The following is a 23,856-nucleotide window of genomic DNA, read 5'->3' as shown; positions in this document are numbered from 1 at the left end:
TAAATGAGTTTAGTTAGGTTGCAGGATGTAAGATAAACATATCAAAATCAATTACACTTTTATATACTAGCAATGTACACATGAATATAAAAATTAATTATACAATATCATTTACAATCTCAAAAACATGGAATACATGTGTGTATATCTAATGAAACATTTATGGGATTTATATGCTGAAAACTACAAAATGCCAATAGAAGTAATCAAAGAGTATCTACATAGTAGAGAAATGTGGATTGGATTTGTGTTTGTGGATTGGAAGAGTCAACTTAGTAAAGATGTCAGTTCTCCCCAAAATGATATTCAGATTCAAGTTTAATGAAATTCTTATAAAAATTCCAACAAGAATTTTGGAGACATATATAAGATTATTCTAAAATTTATATGCAAAAGTAAGGCAACTAGAATGTCTAAAATAATTTCAAAAAGGAAAAATAAAGTAGGAGAAATCACTGAACCTAATTTCAAAATTAGTATAGCTATCGTAGTCAAGACTGTGTGGAATTAGCAAAGAGAGTGATACATAGGACAGAACAGAGAACTTGAAAACAGTCACATATTCATCACCCCACAACTTAAAAAGCAACTCAAAATAGATCATACACTTAAAATAAAACATAAAACTAGAAAACTTGTAAAAGAAAACATACCAGAAAATCTTCAATACCTATGGACTGTTGAAGAGTTCCTAAACATGATATCAACAGCATGATCTATAAAAGAAAAAAAGTCAATAAATTGGACTTCATCCAAATTTAAAATGTTTGTTCTATGAAGAACTGTGTTAGAAGGATGAAAAGAAGCTATAGACTAGGAGAAAATGTTTGCAAAACACGTACCTAGATTAAAGAACTCCAAACTCAACATTTTTTTAAAAAAACAAAAATCCAATGAGGGAATGGGCAAAAGAGATATCTTATTGTAAATGATATTTGGATGGCAAATAAGCTCATGAAAAGATGTTCAGCATCCCTAGCTACTGGGGAAATGCAAATGAATGCCATGATGAGATAGCACCACACACCTATTAGAACAGCTAAAATAAAAATAGTGATAATGCCTGTATTAGTCTGTTCTCACACTGCTAATAAAGACATACCTGAGACTGGGCAATTTATAAAGGAAAGAAGTTTAATTGATTCACAGTTCAACATGACTGGGGAGGCCTCAGGAAACTTCCAATCATGGCTGAAGGGGAAGCAAACATGTCCTTCTTCACATGGTGGCATCGAGGAGAAGAATATGTGCTCAGCAAAGGGGGAAGCCCCTGACAAAACCATCAGATCTTGTGAGAACTCACTCATTATCATGAGAACACATTGGGGGAACCGCCCCTGTGATTCGATTATTTCCACCTGGTCCCTCCTACAACACGGAATTATGGGAACTACAATTCAAGATGAGATTTGGGGTGGGACACAGTCAAACCATATCAATGTCAAATGCTGGTGAGGATGCAAAAAAATGGAATTACCATGCAATGCTGGAGGTTAAAATGCTAGAGTCACTCTGGAAAATAGTTTAGTGGTTTCTTTAAAACTAAACATACATTTACCATGTGACCCAGAAACACTCTCCTGGACACTTATTCCAGATAAACTTTGGAATGTGAAAACTTTATCTACACAAAGCCTGTACATAATTGTTCCTAGCAGCTTTATTTTTAATAGCCCAACACTGGAAACAAACAAAATGTCCTACAATAGGTGAGTGGTTAAGCAAACTGTAGTACTTTCTTTTTTTTTTATTATACTTTAAGTTTTAGGGTACATGTGCACATTGTGCAGGTTAGTTACATATGTATACATGTGCCATGCTGGTGCACTGCACCCACTAACTCGTCATCTAGCATTAGGTATATCTCCCAATGCTATCCCTCCCCCCTCCCCCCACCCCACCACAGTCCCCAGAGTGTGATATTCCGCTTCCTGTGTCCATGTGATCTCATTGTTAAATTCCCACCTATTACTGAGAATATGCGGTGTTTGGTTTTTTGTTCTTGCGATAGTTTACTGAGAATGATGATTTCCAATTTCATCCATGTCCCTGCAAAGGACATGAACTCATCATTTTTTATGGCTGCATAGTATTCCATGGTGTATATGTGCCACATTTTCTTAATCCAGTCTATCATTGTTGGACATTTGGGTTGGTTCCAAGTCTTTGCTATTGTGAATAATGCCGCAATAAACATACGTGTGCATGTGTCTTTATAGCAGCATGATTTATAGTCCTTTGGGTATATACCCAGTAATGGGATGGCTGGGTCAAATGGTATTTCTAGTTCTAGATCCCTGAGGAATCGCCACACTGACTTCCACAATGGTTGAACTAGTTTACAGTCCCACCAACAGTGTAAAAGTGTTCCTATTTCTCCACATCCTCTCCAGCACCTGTTGTTTCCTGACTTTTTAATGATTGCCATTCTAACTGGTGTGAGATGGTATCTCATTGTGGTTTTGATTTGCATTTCTCTGATGGCCAGTGATGATGAGCATTTTTTCATGTGTTTTTTGGCTGCATAAATGTCTTCTTTTGAGAAGCGTCTGTTCATGTCCTTCACCCACTTTTTGATGGGGTTGTTTGTTTTTCTGTTGTAAATTTGTTTGAGTTCATTGTAGATTCTGGATATTAGCCCTTTGTCAGGTGAGTAGGTTGCAAAAATTTTCTCCCATTTTGTAGGTTGCCTGTTTACTCTGATGGTAGTTTCTTTTGCTGTGCAGAAGCTCTTTAGTTTCATTAGATCCCATTTGTCAATTTTGTCTTTTGTTGCCATTGCTTTTGGTGTTTTAGACATGAAGTCCTTGCCCATGCCTATGTCCTGAATGGCAATGCCTAGGTTTTCTTCTAGGGTTTTTATGGTTTTAGGTCTAACGTTTAAATCTTTAATCCATCTTGAATTGATTTTTGTATAAGGTGTAAGGAAGGGATCCAGTTTCAGCTTTCTACATATGGCTAGCCAGTTTTCCCAGCACCACTTATTAAATAGGGAATCCTTTCCCCATTGCTTGTTTTTCTCAGGTTTGTCAAAGATCAGATGGTTGTAGATATGTGGCATTACTTCTGAGGCCTCTGTTCTGTTCCATTGATCTATATCTCTGTTTTGGTACCAGTACCATGCTGTTTTGGTTACTGTAGCCTTGTAGTATAGTTTGAAGTCAGGTAGTGTGACGCCTCCAGCTTTGTTCTTTTGGCTTAGGGTTGACTTGGCGATGCGGGCTCTTTTTTGGTTCCATATGAACTTTAAAGTAGTTTTTTCCAATTCTGTGAAGAAAGTCATTGGTAGCTTGATGGGGATGGCACTGAATCTATAAATTACCTTGGGCAGTATGGCCATTTTCACGATATTGATTCTTCCTACCCATGAGCATGGAATGTTCTTCCATTTGTTTGTATCCTCTTTTATTTCCTTGAGCAGTGGTTTGTAGTTCGCCTTGAAGAGGTCCTTCACATCCCTTGTAAGTTGGATTCCTAAGTATTTTGTTCTCTTTGAAGCAGTTGTGAATGGGAGTTCACTCATGATTTGGCTCTCTCTTTGTCTGTTGTTGGTGTATAAGAATGCTTGTGATTTTTGCACATTGATTTTGTATCCTGAGACTTTGCTGAAGTTGCTTATCAGCTTAAGGAGATTTTGGGCTGAGACAGTGGGGTTTTCTAGATATACAATCATGTCATCTGCAAACAGGGACAATTTGACTTCCTCTTTTCCTAATTGAATACCCTTTATTTCCTTCTCCTGCCTAATTGCCCTGGCCAGAACTTCCAACACTATATTGAACAGGAGTGGTGAGAGAGGGCATCCCTGTCTTGTGCCAGTTTTCAAAGGGAATGCTTCCAGTTTTTGCCCATTCAGTATGATATTGGCTGTGGGTTTGTCATAGATAGCTCTTATTATTTTGAAATATGTCCCATCAATACCTAATTTATTGAGAGTTTTTAGCATGAAGGGTTGTTGAATTTTGTCAAAGGCTTTTTCTCCATCTATTGACATAATCATGTGGTTTTTGTCTTTGGCTCTGTTTATATGCTGGATTACATTTATTGATTTGCGTATATCGAACCAGCCTTGCATCCCAGGGATGAAGCCCACTTGATCATGGTGGATAAGCTTGTTGATGTGCTGCTGGATTCGTTTTGCTAGTATTTTATTGAGGATTTTTGCATCAATGTTCATCAAGGATATTGGTATAAAATTCTCTTTTTTGGTTGTGTCTCTGCCCGGCTTTGGTATCAGAATGATGCTGGCCTCATAAAATGAGTTAGGGAGGATTCCCTCTTTTTCTATTGATTGGAGTAGTTTCAGAAGGAATGGTACCAGTTCCTCCTTGTACCTCTGGTAGAATTCGGCTGTGAATCCATCTGGTCCTGGAATCTTTTTGGTTGGTAAACTATTGATTATTGCCACAATTTCAGATCCTGTTATTGGTCTATTCAGAGATTCAACTTCTTCCTGGTTTAGTCTCGGGAGAGTGTATGTGTTGAGGAATTTATCCATTTCTTCTAGATTTTCTAGTTTATTTCCGTAGAGGTGTTTGTAGTATTCTCTGATGGTAGTTTGTATTTCTGTGGGATCTGTGGTGATACCCCCTTTATCATTTTTTATTGTGTCTATTTGATTCTTCTCTCTTTTTTTCTTTATTAGTTTTGCTAGCAGTCTATCAATTTTGTTGATCCTTTCAAAAAACCAGTTCCTGGATTCCTTGATTTTTTGAAGGGTTTTTTGTGTCTCTATTTCCTTCAGTTCTGCTCTGATTTTAGTTATTTCTTGCCTTCTGCTAGCTTTTGAATGTGTTTGCTTTTGCTTTTCTAGTTCTTTTAATTGTGATGTTAGGGTGTCAATTTTGGATCTTTCCTGCTTTCTCTTGTGGGCATTTAGTGCTATAAATTTCCCTCTACACACTGCTTTGAATGTGTCCCAGAGATTCTGGTATGTTGTGTCTTTGTTCTCGTTGGTTTCAAAGAACATCTTTATTTCTGCCTTCATTTCGTTATGTACCCAGTAGTCATTCAGGAGCAGGTTGTTCAGTTTCCATGTAGTTGAGCGGCTTTGAGTGAGATTCTTAATCCTGAGTTCTAGTTTGATTGCACTGTGGTCTGAGAGATAGTTTGTTATAATTTCTGTTCTTTTACATTTGCTGAGGAGAGCTTTACTTCCAAGTATGTGGTCAATTTTGGAATAGGTGTGGTGGTGCTGAAAAAAATGTATATTCTGTTGATTTGGGGTGGAGAGTTCTGTAGATGTCTATTAGGTCCACTTGGTGGAGAGCTTAGTTCAATTCCTGGGTATCCTTGTTGACTTTCTGTCTCATTGATCTGTCTAATGTTGACAGTGGGGTGTTAAAGTCTACCATTATTAATGTGTGGGAGTCTACGTCTCTTTGTAGGTCACTCAGGACTTGCTTTATGAATCTGGGTGCTCCTGTATTGGGTGCATATATATTTAGGATAGTTAGCTCTTCTTGTTGAATTGATCCCTTTACCATTATGTAATGGCCTTCTTTGTCTCTTTTGATGTTTGTTGGTTTAAAGTCTGTTTTATCAGAGACTAGGATTGCAACCCCTGCCTTTTTTTGTTTTCCATTTGCTTGGTAGATCTTCCTCCATCCTTTTATTTTGAGCCTATGTGTGTCTCTGCACGTGAGATGGGTTTCCTGAATACAGCACACTGATGGGTCTTGACTCTTTATCCAATTTGCCAGTCTGTGTCTTTTAATTGGAGCATTTAGTCCATTTACATTTAAAGTTAATATTGTTATGTGTGAATTTGATCCTGTCATTATGATGTTAGCTGGTTATTTTGCTCGTTAGTTGATGCAGTTTCTTCCTAGTCTCGATGGTCTTTACATTTTGGCATGATTTTGCAGTGGCTGGTACTGGTTGTTCCTTTCCATGTTTAGCGCTTCCTTCAGGAGCTCTTTTAGGTCAGGCCTGGTGGTGACAAAATCTCTCAGCATTTGCTTGTCTGTAAAGTATTTTATTTCTCCTTCACTTATGAAGCTTAGTTTGGCTAGATATGAAATTCTGGGTTGACAATTCTTTTCTTTAAGAATGTTGAATATTGGCCCCCACTCTCTTCTGGCTTGTAGGGTTTCTGCTGAGAGATCCGCTGTTAGTCTGATGGGCTTCCCTTTGTGGGTAACCTGACCTTTCTCTCTGGCTGCCCTTAACATTTTTTCCTTCATTTCAACTTTGGTGAATCTGACAATTATGTGTCTTGGAGTTGCTCTTCTCGAGGAGTATCTTTGTGGCGTTCTCTGTATTTCCTGAATCTGAATGTTGGCCTGCCTTGCTAGATTGGGGAAGTTCTCCTGGATAATATCCTGCAGAGTGTTTTCCAGCTTGGTTCCATTCTCCCCATCACTTTCTGGTACACCAATCAGATGTAGATTTGGTTTTTTCACATAGTCCCATATTTCTTGGAGGCTTTGCTTATTTCTTTGTATTCTTTTTTCTCTAAACTTCCCTTCTCGCTTCATTCCATTCATTTCATCTTCCATTGCTGATACCCTTTCTTCCAGTTGATCGCATCAGCTCCTGAGGCTTCTGCATTCTTCACGTAGTTCTCGAGCCTTGGTTTTCAGCTTCATCAGCTCCTTTAAGCACTTCTCTGTATTGGTTATTCTAGTTATACATTCTTCTATATTTTTTTCAAAGTGTTCAACTTCTTTGCCTTTGGTTTGAATTTCCTCCTGTAGCTCGGAGTAGTTTGATCGTCTGAAGCCTTCTTCTCTCAATTTGTCAAAGTCATTCTCCATCCAGCTTTGTTCCGTTGCTGGTGAGGAACTGCGTTCCTTTGGAGGAGGAGAGGCACTCTGCGTTTTAGAGTTTCCAGTTTTTCTGTTTTGTTTTTTCCCCGTCTTTGTGGTTTTATCTACTTTTGGTCTTTGATAATGGTGATGTACAGATGGGTTTTTGGTGTGGATGTCCTTTCTGTTTGTTAGTTTTCCTTCTAACAGACAGGACCCTCAGCTGCAGGTCTGTTGGAATACCCTGCCGTGTGAGGTGTCAGTGTGCCCCTGCTTGGGGGTGCCTCCCAGTTCGGCTGCTCGGGGGTCAGGGGTCAGGGACCCACTTGAGGAGGCAGTCTGCCGGTTCTCAGATCTCCAGCTGTGTGCTGGGAGAACCACTGCTCTCTTCAAAGCTGTCAGACAGGGACATTTAAGTCTGCAGAGGTTACTGCTGTCTTTTTGTTTGTCTGTGCCCTGCCCCCAGAGGTGGAGCCTACAGAGGCAGCCAGGCCTCCTTGAGCTGTGGTGGGCCCCACCCAGTTCGAGCTTCCTGGCTGCTTTGTTTACTTAAGCAAGCCTGGGCAATTGCGGGCGCCCCTCCCCCAGCCTCGCTGCCGCCTTGCAGTTTGATCTCAGACTGCTGTGGTAGGAATCAGCGAGATTCCGTGGGCGTAGGACCCTCCGAGCCAGGTGTGGGATATAATCTCGTGGTGCTCCGTTTTTTAAGCTGGTCTGAAAAGTGCAATATTTGGGTGGGAGTGACCTGATTTTCCAGGTACGTCCATCACCCCTTTCTTTGACTTGGAAAGGGAACTCCCTGACCCCTTGCGCTTCCCAAGTGAGGCAATGCCTCGCCCTGCTTCGGCTCGCACTCGGTGCACGCACCCACTGGCCTGCGCCCACTGTCTGGCACTCCCTAGTGAGATGAACCCGATACCTCAGATGGAAATGCAGAAATCACCCGTCTTCTGCGTCGCTCACGCTGGGAGCTGTAGACCGGAGCTGTTCCTATTTGGCCATCTTGGCTCCTCCCCTGCAAACTGTAGTACTTTCATACAATGGAATACTACTCAGCAATGAAAAGGAACAAACACCACTGATACATGCAACAACTTAGATGAATTTAAAGGACATTATGCTGAGTGAAAAATATCCAAATGTCACATACTGTATGATTGTATTTACTAATATTCTAGGAATGACAAAATTATAAAGATGGAGAACAGATTAGTGATTGTCAAGGATGAGGAATGGGGGCACAAGGGGTGAGTATAACTATAAAATGGTAGTAGGATGGAGTTCTGTGTGGTGATGGAACACTTCTCTATCTTGATTGTAGTGGTGGTAACATGGATGTACATATGTGATAAAATAATGTGGAAATGTAAAAAAAAAATTACATATGGGTTTGCCTCAACACAAATATTGTTCATTCTTGCTATTCTTGGGCTTATTTATATGTGAAAAAGATACCATTTGTATGTAGTTGGCTGTTACTTGCTTTCTTTCATTCATTATGTTTCTAAGGTGTACCCAAGCTATTGCATGCTGCTGTGGTTTATCGATATTCCATGTTATCTAATATTCCATTTAATGACTATCACTCAAGTTATTTCCTTGTTCTCTTGTTGATGGACATTTGTGTTAAATCTAGCTTTTTGCTATGTCGAAAAAGTCATGTTTGTGCATGTCTTCTGGGAAAGTGTGCAAGAGTTTCTCTGGATGTCTCAGTCTGTCTGTACTGCTATAACTAAATACCTGAGACTGGGTAATTTATAACTAATAGAAATTTATCTCTCACCATTTTGGAGGCTGGGAAGTCCAAGATTAAGATGCAGGAAGTTTAATGTCTCGTGAAGCCTAGTCTCTGCTTCCAAGAGTGTTGCCTTCTCAGGAGTGGATAAATGCTATGTCCTCAACATGGCAGAAGGGCAGAGGGGCAAGAGGGCACTCCCTTCAACCTGGAGCCCTTTTATAAGTGTGCTAATCCCAGTTGTGAGGGTGGAGCCCTCATGACTTAATCACCACCCCCAAGGCCATATCTCTCAATACTGTTGCATTGGGGATTAAGTTTTCATATAAATTTTAGAGGGGACACTGTCATTCAAACCATAGCACTAGAGAATATACATAGGAGTGATTTGCTCAGAGGGAGGGTATGAGAGCATTCTACTTCATAAGAGAAGGTTAAATTGTTCCAAGTGGTTATATCAATTTCTACCCCCACTATCAGTTTAATTTGCATTTTCTTAATTAAAGATGAGGTTGCTCATCTTTTCCTACATCCATTCACCATTCATGTTTTTCTCTTCTGTGATGTGCCTGTCAGATCTTCTGCTTATGTTTTTTCTATTGTGTTGTCTTTTTATGACTGATATATAACATTTCTTTTTATAACCTGAATACTGGTCTTTTGTTCATTTCAAGTGTTGCAAACTTGTCTCACATATTGGCTTGTGTTTTTGCCTTCTTCATTGTACCTTTGGATGAATGCAAGCTCTTCATATTACGGCTGCAAATTTATCAACTTTGCCTTCCTTTTATGGTTAACACTTTTGTGCCTTAAGAACTTCTCTCCCATTTAAAGATCAGAAGGATGTTTCCCTGTATTTTCTTCTAAAAGTTTAAACCTTTTGCTTTTTACAACTAAATCTTTAATTCCTCTGGAATTAATCTTTGGGTATAGTTCCTCCTTTACTTTTGGCTCAGTTATTCCACACTTCATGAGAACCCTGTTATCTTGTAATAGCCAGGTGGATGAGAAAGTCAAGGAAGAAAACCCTCATTCACAACAAGATGTGGGAAGCTGGCTAATTCTTCCTTAGGTAGCCTCGAAATAAATTTTGGTAAAATGAACTAGCTTTCCTTTGCTGTAGCCAAGGATATTTAGAAATTTTGCAAATGTTTGAGTGCTACATGTTAAAAAGTAAAACAAACAAAAAGCAATGAATCTCCTCTCACCATTTGAGCTATGTCTCAGATCATTTAAATAAGCTATTTGTTGAGAAAAAAAGCATACATTTAAAATGCCTGTTTGTATAGTATTCAGAGTATGGGTTCTGCTTTTAAAGAGGCAATGCAATTTATTGGAAATATCACCGGACAGGGAGTCGAAAGGCTTGTGTTTAAGCCTTGATCTGTCATCACCTGGTTGAGAAACCTCTTCCTATCAGTTAGGATTATGTGCAGTGGCCTGTAACAAGAATCCTTCTACAGTGGCTTAACCAAATAGGATTTACTTTTTCTCATGTAACAGCCTAGAAGCAGGCAAGCCAGGCCCAGTGCAGTGACTCCTTCTTTCAGCTTAGGCTTCGTTCACAGCATGTGGCTTTTGTTTTCATGCTTGTGACTTCATGACTGCAAGAGATAAATCTTCCTCCAGCTTTGCATCAGAGTTGCAGGCATGATGAAGAAGAAGGGCAAAGAACAAAAAGTGAATGCCAGGGTCCTTTGAAAGTACCTTTCCAGGAGCCCTACCTAGTAACTTCAGCTTGTTTGCATCTCCAGAACAAAATTGTTCCACCTGGCCATCATTCTTAGCTGAATCATAACATGGCAAATTCCTGCCCTGGACAAAATCAAGATTCTGTAAGGGAAAAGGGTAGACTTGTTATTGGATAGGCAACTGGCAATGTCTTCCCCACTGTCTAAGCTTTCAGTGGGGATGCCTGCCCACTGCTGACAGGGTTGTTTTCATGACAAAATAGAAGATCAAATGGAAGAGTGCTTCATACACTGTAAAATGTATTTAATAAACAGAGTGGAAATATTCTGAACTATTTTCTCAGAGAGCAAATCCAATGTTAATAGAAAGTTCAGGCTGGGTGTGGTGGTTTGTGCCTGTTATCTCAGCACTTTGAGACACTGAAGTGGTAGGATCACTTGAGGCCTGGAGTTTGAGACCAGCCTGGGCAACATAGCAAGCCCTCATCTCTATTAAAAAAAAAAGGTTAGCCAGGCATGTTGGGGCATCCCTGCAGTCCCAGCTGTTCTGGAGGCTGAGGCAGGAGGATTGCTTTAGCATAGAAGTTTGAGGTTACACTGAGCTATTATTGCTCTACTGCACTCCCATCTGGGTGACAGAGTGAAACTCTGTCTCCCGAACTCTGCAAAAATAAATAAATAAATAAATAAATAAAAAAGAAAGTCCAGCTAAATATAGAGCCTTGGGTCATCAATATCTATTGAACTTCCACTCATTCTCTTTTGGACATCTGCAGATCACCTGAGTACTAGGGTTTTTATAGACACATATCCTCAAATATCAGTCTTCAGATTATTGTCAAGCACTGTTGTGGTGGACATTTGCTGATCCACTTCCCACTTTCCCTTTCCTCTAACCCCAATGTCTCTCTGTGTGATGTTTGTTTGGATTGACCCTACTCTTACCTCCAGGGATAAGCCTTGACTAGTTTAAGCCATTTGATATATGAGACCCCAAAATACAGTGGCCGATTCAGCAATGGGCCCTCAGAATGACCTCAGAACTTTCACTGGGACTGCCATGACGCTGACACTGTCCTCTTGGATGATAGATATATGATCTTGAACTGCTACAGCCATTTTTATTGCGCCAGGAGGGGAGCAGCCTGAGGGTGAAGCCAATTCACAAAGAATACCTGTACCAAGAGAATTGTCTAGAATCAAATGATACAACAAACTTATGGTTTCCCAAAACCAGTCTTACTTTTGGGTTTTTTCCCCAGCTCAATGAAACAAACATTTCCTTATTTTGTTATTTATTTGTATAAGTGAGTTTGAGCTGGGTTTTCTGTTACTTGTAACCAAATGATTCCTAAGTGATAGTTTCTATATACATTCCAGGAAAAATTACATACATTACATTATTTTAACATATTATTCTTTTAAATAATTGATATATATTTAAATAATGTATTTAATATATATGTATATGTATATATTTATATTTAAGTTCATTTATTCTAATGTTTATAATCCTTCCTGAATTAAGACCATAAGGCCTGAATGTTACCCAGCATGCCTGTTTCTCCCTGTAATAAATTGCCTGCGTAGCATCTGTCCAGAGAAGTGGACTGTGAGATGCTCAGAGCTGATTCCTACTCTTTGGAGACTGTGCCTGTTATTCCTGGGTTACAAGACTCATTCCTGAGTACTTTGAACCAAAAACCAATTAGGCTGATACACGTCAGTGTTCTTGTAGGTGTGTTTCCTGTTTCCTGTTTGCAAAGGCAACTACAAAAGAAATAAAAGTGACAGTCTCACCAAAACTTTTACAGAGCTGTCAAATGTTCAAGTACAATATTCGCTAATTATGAGTGATCTCAGTTGCAAGGCATCTGATCTCCTGGTGTTAAAATCTGTCGTGATACCGAGGAAGGCCCCGAGATCCCAGGCACTGAGTGACTGCATACTGTGAGTTAGTTTTTTAATCTCTTGAAAGGGTTAAATTGTGTAAATTACGATTCAAAATGCAAAGCTGTATCCTAGGTAGGTTTGTGTGTGTTTATATATTTGTATTTGCTAAGTAGAAAAATAAGCTTTGTCATGGGGTAGCCATTTCCATTTTTAACTCTTGATGAATGTGTATGTTACTGAAAAGAAAGCTATGCACCCATTTTAATTAAAAAAAAATCCTGCTCTCTTTTCTGGTGACTGATTAAGCGGAAACCTTATTTAAGTACAAGAGATTTAGTAAAACAAAACAGGACATATGATAATGGAGTAAAAACCTGGCTTGTTGATTCCTGGAAAAAAGGTAATTTATACCCCTCCTTACTTTCCAAATGGACTCATTTAGTATAGAGGACCGAAGAGGATATTATGCAGCAAGTAGAGGGGATGTTTTCTAATTCAAAAAAGATTCTTTTGAAATTCTATTATAGTATAATTAGGGCAGCAGCACCAGCAATAGTGAATTTCCTGTTAGAATAGGAACATTATTACTTTCCTAATTTGTTGATATGAGTCTCAAAAGCCATCTCATTGAACAGTTAGGAAATTGGCTTTTCAGGAAGGGAAATCTACTGAATTTCTTGGAAACTTTTCAAAATAAGTTAATGGCCCCAGACGAGAGCTAGTGAAGAATTGCAGGCAAAGTCATATGGCTTAGACCTCAGTAATGTTTTGTGCCTGTTTGGAAAAAAGTCATGAAGATTAATCTGATATTTACTTGGTCAAACAGTTGTGTATGAGGAACAAATGGAGAAAATAAAATAAATGGGGGCAGGGCAGATACATTGATATCAAATGAAACTTGAGTAGACTTAGCTCTTTTCATCCCACTTCCTTTTCCCCCATTAAGTCTTTATGGTTTAATTACTACCTGAGCAACATGACTCACCTGGATGTAACAAGAAAGTGAAAGTGAAAAGCTTTTATTCCAAATTTGGTAGTCCAGTCCTTCTAATGAGATCTATAGAAGAGTAATGAAATATTTGAAGTCACGTTAAACAAAATCTAATGTTTTTTTTCCCTCATGGCATTGAGAACTAAGTCTCAGCCCTATTGCATTTCTCCTGGAGGCCAAGATAGAATTGTGCATTGTAACTAGTAATGATCAGGCAGTCTGGGAAGCTCCTTCTTCTTGAGATAATTTGGTTGAACTATTTATGGATATCACAACCCGAGACATGGCAGTTGCCATTGCTTTAGTTCCTTGGCTCTTTCTGACATCAAGCTAAAGCCTAATAGGAAAATGTGTGTTTTTGCCTAAAGACAGTAAAGCTTGAGTAGGATTTAACATAAGAACACTTCCCCTTGGCATGGAGGTGTGGATAATCACTATGATGCTATTGGCTTCTAGTCATTTCTGTCCCTCCTGCAGCACCTGGGTCCTTCTCTGTGTTTATTGTTTCAGGGGCAGGTAATTCCTTGCTAGAGTGAGCTCCAAATAAGCTAGACTTCATCTCTCATTCACATGGAGCAAAGGGAGACTGCGAGAGTTCATGCTGCAGGTTTGCAGCATCTGCCAGACCCAAACGAGGATGATTTGGATGAGAAATTGACAGAAAAGCTCTTGGGGCAGTGAAGAAGCCACTCCCTGCTTGACTACTAGTGGGCTTGAGAGAGTAGTGGGCAAGGCAGGGAAGAGGATGGCTTCTTCAACAGAGGTTAAACTTCCTAACAGGGGCTTTCCATAAGAATGGCCTGACTTAGCAAATACTGCCCAAATTTCCTGGGCTGTTTGGGATTTTGTCCAAGAATTTCAGACAATTTAGTAAAAATTGCCTAGTGGCAGAAATCCAGATAACCATAGATGGGAAGAATACATATAAAGAAATTATTTGAAAGCAAGGTATATGAATAGACTCTAGGTTTATAATTATTACTGATTTCCTGTTGTTTGGATATCGCTCTTTAGCCTCCTTAAGTCAGGATGGTTTTGTCTGGGTCCCCAAGAAATCTGTACTCTTCCCAAGGCTCCCTATGTGACTAGCTTCTTAGTTATAGGATGTTACATGGAATTTCATTTTTCTGCAGTTTTCTAAGCTAAAGACTTCTTTGCTCCTCCTCTTAAAAGAATGAATGCGTTTTAGCCCTTTTAGCCTGGGAGCCCATTATTCTGTATTTTCAATGTCCCACAAATTCCCCTCTGTCAAAAAACATTGATTTTGTCAACAGAATACCTTTCATTTAGGAATAATATGGAGAGAGATTATCTCAGAGGCTGAGAGCACGAGACACCAAATATTCAGAGGATAATTAAAGTGTTCTTCCAGATGTTTTCAAATATAGCCACAGAGACAAATACTGATCAGTCGAGTAATTGATTCCCTGCCAACTATTTTCCATCCAGTCACGTTCTTAATGCCAAAACAGCTAATAAATTCGGTGAAAAACAAAAACAAAAACAAACTGCTTTTGTATTAGTATGTAGAAAAAAATAGAGAGTAGTTTATTTCCCAGCAATTTTGCAACAAATTGTTTAGTGTCATACAGACATAGGAGAATGGTGTTTGCTGGAGATAAATGATGATTTCAATTAACCAACAAATGTTGACTAAGTACCTACTAACTTGAGCCCTAGAGAAGAATGATATGGTATAACACGGACTTACATATTTGGTAATAGATTATGTTTCTAGAAGCATAATTCATTTATTTGTTCAATAAATATTTATTGAGCAGTTGCTATGTGACAGGCACTGTGTTAGGTGGCAGGGATATTAATAGGGATAGGAAGGCATGCGGCTGAGAAGAGTGGGGTTGGGAGTGAAGTTAATCAAATAATCACACAAATACATTTTACAAATGTGTTAAGTACTATGATAGAAAACAACAACAGCAAAAACAAGGAACTATGAGACTATAAAATGCAGGTACCACACCTAGTCTCAGTGGGGATCAGGGAAGGCTTCCCTGCAGAAATCTGAAGGTGTTGGAGATGGGCAGAAGAAAGGCCAGAGCAGAGGTTCTAAGGTAGAAGGGAACATGCAGCTTACTAAGAATTGAGCCAAAGCTAGTATTGCTGGAGAGCAAGGCGGGCATCCTATGGGGGAAAGCTAGAGGGGTGGCAGGAGCCAGATCATGAAAGACTTTAGTAGAGAATGAATGAATGAACCAACATGAGTAGTTTATAACAGGAAATGAGTCCTGTGGTCTTCTGTAAAAATGAAAGGAGTTTGCAATTGTATAATGACACTGCTGATAGGGAGAAGATATTCATTTACTCACCCAGCCAATATACCCAAGACAAAATCCCTGTTCCCATGGATCTGAAATTCTAGTGGAACAGGCAGATAATATGCCAATAAGGAAATATATAGGTTTTATACTAAGTTTTTGCTTATAAGTAAGTAGTATGGGTCTTTAGATAGAATTTAAACATGATTTCAAATCTAAATTGTATTGCATGTAAGTGTGGTTATTCTTCTGTTTAGTTAAATAACAGCATATACTCTAGAAGACCTAAGAGGATGCTTAGGACAGATGTCCTTCATAGTACCCAAATCACGGTCAAAGACTTCGAAGAAATTTCAAGAGAGGAAAACGAGAGGGAAACCAGGCTTTGTATTAATTTGTTCTTGTTTCTGAGACAATAGTGATCCCATTGTCCTCCCTGTGCCTCATTCTGGAGTGGTGAGGGGAGGAGGAAGGGAGCAATACAAAGACTTAAATGAAACTCACAGAGTCTAACACTGATGGAGAAGGAGCTGAGCGGAAGAGCATTTCAGAGTCTATTTCTTTGGTTTTATTTTCTTTATTTGTTTTTGAAATGGGATCTCACTCTGTTGCCCAGGCTGGAGTACAGTGGTGCAATCTTGGCTTACTGAAGCCTCAGCCTCCTGAGTAGCAGGGACTACAAGTGCGCACCACCATGCCCAGCTAATTTTTGTATTTTTTGTCGAGTCAGAGTGTCTCACTGTGTTGCCCAGGCTAGTCTAGAACTCATGGCCTTAAGCAGTCCTTCTGTTTTGGCCTTCCTAAGTGTTGGAGTTATAGACGTGAGCCACCACATCTGGCCTCTATTTCTTCTTACAAAAAGACCTTATTATACCTTATATATTTAATATGCTTTATACATTTTGCACATTTAGCATATCTAGAAAAGTTTCACATCTTAGAATCAATGTACATATTTAAGGAGATGGATTTCTTTCTCACATTCTCAAAAGTTGTTATTTCATATTGCTTCTTAAAGCCATTACTGACTTACAACACAGAAAACAATACATGCCTGGAAACTTATTTGAGGTTTTCAACTGTGCCTGTCTTTTATGAAGGTCTGCTGGAAGACTTCTTGATGCAATGTTTGCATAGCTACATAGAGAGTATTACTGACATCAGTGGAATTACACCAGGGCACCAGTGAGGATTACCTTCAGGTCTTGTTTGCAAAAGTCAGAGGGTTTGATGTAAGTAATTCATTATATCAAAGGGAGGCATAATAATTATCTGTTTTAATCTTCAGGAACCTCCTTGTTTCTGACTTTCCTACTGTATGAATCAAAGTGATTATTTCTACATATGCTGTCTTAGTCTGCTTCGGCTGCTATAACAAAATATCATAAACTGGGTGGCTTATAAACAACAGAAATTTATTTCCTACAGTTCTTGAGGTCGGGAAGTCCAAGATTAAGGTGCTGGCAGATTCGGTGTCTGTCGAGGTCCTATTTCCTGGTTCGTAGATGGTGCCTTCTCGCTGTATCCTCCTATGGTGGAAGGGGAAAAGAGACCCTGGGGTCTCTTTTATGAGTACACTAAATCCACCTTCATGTCCTAATCAGCTGCCCCAAACTCCACCTCCTAATATAATCACCTTGGGGGTTAGGACTTCAACATATGAATGTGGGGAGGGAGGCAGACACAAACATTGAGACCATAGCATATGCCAAGAATCTTAGAATTGGGAGGAATGATGGACATGTTGTTAGCGTGATCCTTCAGTATGTTTTTTTCAACATAGCACTATTGTCATTTTGAACCAGATAATTCTTCTGGAAGGGAGTGTCTTGCACACTATAGAATGTATTGCAGTATCCTGGTGCCTGTAGTATATTCCCCAGTCATGACAACCATCTGAAGACATTGCCAAATGTCTCCTGGGAAGGGCAAATATCACCCTCAGTTGAGCACCCCTGCTTTAGTGCATCTTAATCAATGACTCACACTGCTCTGTTTTAGCCTTGTATTGTAGTTGTATCACAAATGTGTGCAATTCTAAATGTGTAGCTGTAACAGGATGGTATCTTTGCAGTTCTATAATTCTCACATCCAAATTGAAGATGATATTATGAAACCAGAATTATAAGATGAAATAATTAGATATTTACTCAGCCAAGCATGTGAAATTCTAACGTGATAATATGTTTTTCTGGGAGCCTTGTTTTATTTGTTAAAGCCTTAGAAAATTTTACCCTCAAAGTTTAAAACTTAGTGGTTTAATTGTTTCTTAAGAAGATACATTTATGAGAGTCTTAATGCCACAAAGACTCCACTTCAGTCAGCTGCAAGAATTAAGGGCCTTTTGGTCCTTGGCACCAAACTTAAATGAGACATAAATGAGGCACATTTAATGAAATCAATTCTAGTTTTATAGGAAGCTGAGAATAACAGAGAGAAAAAAAGTGCTGCTCTTGTGTCCTTTGGTGATGGTGTTTGACATTTTAGTGTAATTTATTATAATAGTATACTGGTTAATGTTCCCATATTATCGGCGGTTTAATCAAAGTTCCTGAAAATGGGAAGAATGTGTTCTGTCACTGTAAAGCTAAGAAATGGTATTTCAAAATTACTTCAATCATACATGATTAGATCTTCTAAACTGGTATTTTACTGTGCTATGGTGCAGTGAAGACTTCAAATTGCAAAAATGTACTTAGACATGTAGTAATATATGACACCATTAAAGAGATTATTTTTAAATAAAATTCCTTTTTATTTGTATTTTTTTATTTTAATAGATATTTCGTTAGGTGGTTTTATGAAAGTGAAATTCCTTTTTACTGTTATCTTTTACCTCACTTAAAGGCTTCCTGCCTTAAAGTGTCACATGTAGTTCAAATGAGCCAATATTATTTGTAAAATAGAGTTTCTTTTGTGTCGTGATGCTGTTCAGAAATATTAAGGACTTCTGATTATCTCAAAAATAAAGTTCTAAGTCCTTTTCATGACATTCGAGGCCCTCTAGTAACTGGCTTCAATCAATCTTTTCACATTTATCTCCATTACCTCCCTTTGCCTTGTCCCCATATCTTATTCCAGCCATAATGAAGGAGGTGGCCCGGGTCATCTTTGCACTTTTCTGCCTCCATAGCACTTCTCATGTTGTGATTTCTACCCCTCAAATTCTAATCCACTCTTAATCATTTATTTCACAAAACATTCTCAAATTTTCTTAGTTGGAATTAAACTTTCTTTTTTTTGTATAATGCTTTGAAGCACTAGACTAGTGCTTTTCACACTATCTGGGGGAGAATTCAATTTTTGAAAAACTTTCCAATTCATCACAAGTCAATAGGTGTCCTGTCTGTGACTACCAGTGAGAGGTGACAGCGTGCTGGCAGCCCTCACAGCCCTCACTCACTCTCAGCGCCTCCTTGGCCTCGGCCTCCGCTCTGGCCATGCTCCAGGAGCCCTTCAGTCCGCCACTGCGCTGTGGGGGCCCCTCTCCGGGCTGGCCAAGGCCAGAGCCAGCTCCCTCTGCTTGCAGGGAGGTGTGGAGGGAGAGGCGCCAGTGGGAACCGGGGCTGCTGCACCTGGCGATCGTGGGCCAGCATGAGTTCTGGGTGGGCGTGGGCTCGGGCTCAGTGGGCCCCGCACTCCGAGCGGCTGGCCAGTGCTGCTGGCCCCGGGCAGTAAGGGGCTTAGCACCAGGGCCAGCAGCTGTGGAGGGTGCGCCAGGTCCCACAGCAGTGCCGGCCCACCAGCGCTGCTCTCGAATTCTCGCCGGGCCTCAGCTACCTCCCAGCAGGGCAGGGCTCGGGACCTGCAGCCCACCATGCCCCAGCCTCCCTCACCGCCCCCCCTCCCCCCCACACCATGGGCTCCTGCAAGGCCCCAGCCTCCCAGACTAGCGCAGCCCTCTGCTCCACGGCGCCCAGTCCCATCCACCGCCCAAGGGCTGAGGAGTGCAGGCACACGGCACAGGACTGGCAGGCAGCTCTGCCCTGCGGCCCTAGCAGGGTGATCCACCAGAGGAAGCCAGCTGGTTTCCTGAGTTGGGTGGGGACTTGGAGGACTTTTATGTCTAGTTGGAGGATTGTAAATGCACCAGTCAGCAGCCTGTGTCTAGCTCAAGGTTTGTGAATGCACCAATCAGTGCTCTGTGTCTAGCTAATCTAGTGGGGACTTGGAAAACTTTTGTGTCTAGCTCAGGGATTGTAAATGCACCAATCAGCACCCTGTCAAAACGGACCAATGAGTGCTCTGTAAAACAGACCAATCAGCTCTCTGTAAAATGGACCAATCAACAGGATGTGGGTGGGGCCAGGTAAGGGAATAAAAGCAGGCTGTCCCAGCTAGCCGTTGTAACCCGTTGAGGTCCCACCACACAGTGGTGGTTTTGTGTTTTTCCCTTTTGCAGCTCTTGCTGTTGCTTGCTCTTTGGGTCTGTACTGTCTTTATGAGCTGTAACACTCACAGTGAAGGTCTGCAGCCTCACTTTTGAGGCCAGCGAGACCACGAAGCCACTGGGAGAAATGAACGACTCCAGACTGGCGGCCTTAAGAGCTGTAATACTCCCCGCGAAGGTCTGCAGCTTCACTGCTGAAGTCAGTGAGACCACGAACCCAGCAGAAGGACCAAACTCTGAACACGTCTGAACATCAGAAGGGACAAACTCCAGACACACCATCTTTAGGAATTGTAACACCATGAGGGTCCACGGCCTTATTCTTGAAGTCAGTGAGACCAAGAACCCACCAATTCCGGACACACCAGTACTTAGAATCTACCCCAGGAAACTCACCGTGGAAGTTTGGCAGTCTCCAAACCATTCTATACCCCATTCAATGAGATGAGTTTACTTGATTACACATTTGGATGCTGTGGCAATGTCCAGCTCCTGTAGAAGTTTATTGACAACTACTTGCAATATCTGTATTTGCATTATTGAAGTCTGATAAGACTGATCCGTAGACCACATTTTAAGTGGTGCTGTCTTAGACTCTAAGTTCCATGAGGACAGAACCTAGGGCTGCTTTTTTTCATCATCGTAATCATAGGACATGGCATTGACCGTCGCATAACAGCACATTGATTACATGCAGAGGTTCTGTCAGTAGCAGTTTCTGCCTCCAAAGTAGCTTGGATTAGATCTTGATCACTGTTTAGCACCTGTGGGATCATCATACTTTACTTATAACAGAAAATAAGAATAAATGGGATCATCAGTCTGATTTATTTTTAAAATACATGCTCTTTAATACAAAGTCTAAAAAAATAATGTTAGCTTCTTGGTGCTGGTATGACCTCCTTATAAGTAAAGATCACTTGATTAATAATTTAATTTTCTTTCACTAGATGTAAAAATTCTCTTCAAGTTCACTTAAGTAAAATGAAGCTTAAAAGAAATCTAAAACAATTAGCCTCTTAAATAGCAAGACTGTATGAGAGAAATGTGTTCCTTGTACAAGGGAACCCCTGTAAAAAACAAAATTATATTTAAAACCCAAATGGCTTTCTATTATGCAGCTCAGGGAGAAACATTGAAACTCTTGAACAGTCTGAAATTGTGTTTCTGAAAATGAGAATCACATGGAGTTAGTTTAGCATCTACCAATGTAATTTCTATGGGACAGAGTAACATTTTTCAAAGTTTAAAATGTAAGATTCTTAATAAATTACATGACAGTGCTGTTTGAACATAACAGCTCTCACTTTCAGTGGTTCAAGAATGTCTTCTGAAGTGGTAGGAAGTTGCAGTTGAATGTTCATAGTTTTCACTGAATGCTTCATTATATTAATGTTAACAGCCAAGAAAAAACGAGGACATTTACTATATGTTTTTCCCACCCTTGGCCACTTAGTTTTCCGTGGAACATTTGTTATTTCTGGGACATACAGCATGTGCCCAGAACCATAATTAGTAACAGTTTGATGTTATGGGAGTTCAAAATTTAGTATTTTCTAGCTTCATTAGATCAGTGGCTTCCTCTGAAATATAAAAGCATTATACAAATACGTAATACAAATACAGATCCTAAGGGTACATTCTGGAGTCAGCTTTTTTACTCCTTTGCTAACTGCAGTATTTGCTTGTTTTGATGGGGAGGTGTTCAAACAGCTCTTCCCCAGAACCAGAGGGAGGCACTGCTCTAAGTACTTTATATATATCAACTTATTTAATCATTGCAGTAACAGGTGAGAAAAAAAGGGGCAAAAAGACATTCATTTGCCCAAAGTCACTTAAATGGGAAATTGTATAGTCAGGATTTCTCCTAGGGAGTCTGGCTCCAGGGTCCATGTTATAGCATACATAGTATCTTTTATGCAATACTGTTCCTGTAAGGAGATGAAGGCTTCCAGAATTCCACTGGTAAAATACTGTTGAAAAGGTTATTTTCTTGCAGACTATCTCTGACTAATGCTTAGGTAGTAGCTGAGAAATGCAGAATGACTGGGGAATGCTGGGTAGCCAGGAATGCTGGATAAATGGGGAAATGCTAGGAACCAGGGAATGCTGGGTAACTAGGAATGCTGGATAATAGGGGAATGCTGGGTAATTGGGAATTCTGGGTAGTCAGGGAATGCTGGGTAACCTGGGGAGAGGTACAAGAAGTCATTAGTTAGCAGCTCACCCTAAGCAACCTTCTAGTATCTGTAAACCAGAGGGTTGTTATTAATACGGAATCTGGGACTGCTGCAATGTTGATTATCCTCACATAAGATCCTTTAAATCAGTATTATCTTTGAATCAGAAGGATATATATTTGTAGATGCGTTTTACTTCAAATCTTTAACTGTGTTTAAAATTCACAGGTTTCTAGCACTTGCTACATATACAATAGCTGAGAGGAGACATTTCAGGGAAAGAATGTTATTTATTAATTCGTTTATTTTTTACTTAAGACTTAAAGACTTTGTGGGGGAGTGGGTTAGCAGAGAGAACCCTTAGTCTTTCCAATAGGAAATTTACCACTGAGTTCTCATATATATCCTAGCCAGGGGAGAAAAGATAACCACTTTTGCTTTGTACTGGAAGTCATCGGTTGCTGAGGCTGATTATTCAAAGAAAGCAAAACGTCTCATTGGTATCAAAATGTAGTTTTTCCCATCTTGTGTTACTAATGCAGTTATTAAGGACTGAAAATGCAACATTGCTTAGCAACATGCATAACAGTATTTACTATTATTTTATTTGAGCAGCAGCAGCAATAAGTACTATGTCTTGTAAATGTCCTGGTGACATTTTATTTTCTTTCTCATCTAACATTACTTGTATCCATTGCCATGGTATTAAGCAAAATGCTTAGTCTGTGGCTTGGCAGAGTGGGTTTAGATACACTCCCTTAAGTACAGAGATCAGCCCTGAAAGCTGGCATTGGCTCAATATAGAACCAAAAGGAAATTAGGCTTCAGGTAAGAAAAAGTAGTAAAGGATGCCTACAACTGTCATGGTCTATATAAGTCTTCTAATTTTCACTACCAGCAAGTATATCATGATGTCCCGTGAGATGCAGGAACTTGCTATAATACTGTTCAGGCTATTTGTTTTGTTGTCTCCAGTCTTTCAGGCAGCAACTAGTGTTCATAATAATCAAAAGCAAACATAATCCCTATTTCCTCCTAATGAAAAGACAGCACTTTGACTAATAACTGTGCTAGCACTGCCTTGTCATTTATGCTTCACCCTGTGTGTTGGAGAATGAGTTGATGTCTGAGAAAATTTGATCTGGGTGGACTCCCATCCAAGCCCTCCTTTCTTCTCCAAATTAGAATAGCAACTATACATCTGAGAATCTGGGCATTCCTCTACTATTTTCCCTTTTTCTTTCTCCACAGTCATCCTAGCTTGACCTCTTAAATCCTGGTATTCTAACTTGACTTCTGCCTGGGGAAGAGCAAGAAATCCCAGAGGTTAGGACCATCTAGCTAGAAAGACTGTCTCTAAAAGATTTGAACAATTTTGAGAGGAAAGAGAGGCCAAGCTTCTCTCATAAAAACAATAGAGAAAGAATCAGTTCACTACTACAACAGAGGCAGCCATTCATCCTGGAGAGGAGAGATGTTCCACTTGGGATTGTTATCCAGTGATTGATGTCTTTTCAATTCCAGGACATGTGGAGGTTCTTTAGGGATTTGAATCAGTGAGCAGCTTGTTTAATTCTTTGTCCTTCCCAGGGAGGGGTCCTGAATGTGGACATCTTCCTCATGCAGTTTCGGTTTTTGGTGCCTTCCACGTCCTTGGCTTTGCTTTTGCTTTGTTGCGTCTTAGAATCATTAATTAATTATGGATCCAGTTCCTTCTGTGCACTTGCTAATTGGACGTTTTGAAAAATTGCTCCATGCTGGCTTCAATAATGAGGAGAGAATTAAAAGGCTGAGAAGTGCTAGGAAAGAGAGACAGACCACAATGGTCATGGAAATCTAGCAAAAACCATCGAGATATCTGTTACCCCAGTAACCAGGGGACACGGAGCACCGAGCAGAGAGGTTAGAAAAAAGGACAATGAAGTGATGAAAGGGACAGGGTCAGTGAGGG

General features: G+C 40.0%; 1 protein-coding gene across 17 annotated transcripts in view, besides 1 other annotated feature; it reads left to right on the top strand.

Annotated features, from left to right (window-relative positions):
* Positions 1-23,856, top strand: part of NCALD (neurocalcin delta) — a 438,366-nt gene that overhangs the window by 225,642 nt on the left and 188,868 nt on the right. For 6 of the 17 annotated variants that reach the window (XM_047422315.1, NM_001040626.2, XM_047422317.1 and 3 more), the window contains one exon: positions 12,039-12,125. The exons of the other annotated variants lie outside the window; for them this stretch is intronic. The gene's annotated coding sequence lies outside the window, so the exon portion shown is untranslated. The remainder of the gene's footprint in view (positions 1-12,038; positions 12,126-23,856) is intronic. 17 annotated transcript variants of the gene reach the window in all.
* Positions 7,021-7,564: an enhancer, noted in NCBI's record as "NANOG-H3K27ac-H3K4me1 hESC enhancer chr8:102903930-102904473 (GRCh37/hg19 assembly coordinates)". NCBI's record gives its function as "activates a minimal SCP1, AML or CMV promoter by ChIP-STARR-seq in naive H9 embryonic stem cells {active_cell/tissue: H9 hESC(naive)}" and the evidence as "EXISTENCE:reporter gene assay evidence [ECO:0000049][PMID:30033119]".

Source organism: Homo sapiens, chromosome 8, assembly GCF_000001405.40.
Source record: "Homo sapiens chromosome 8, GRCh38.p14 Primary Assembly".
In the NCBI taxonomy this organism is placed as follows: Eukaryota; Metazoa; Chordata; class Mammalia; order Primates; family Hominidae; genus Homo; species Homo sapiens.
This window is presented reverse-complemented; position numbering and strand designations above follow the sequence as displayed.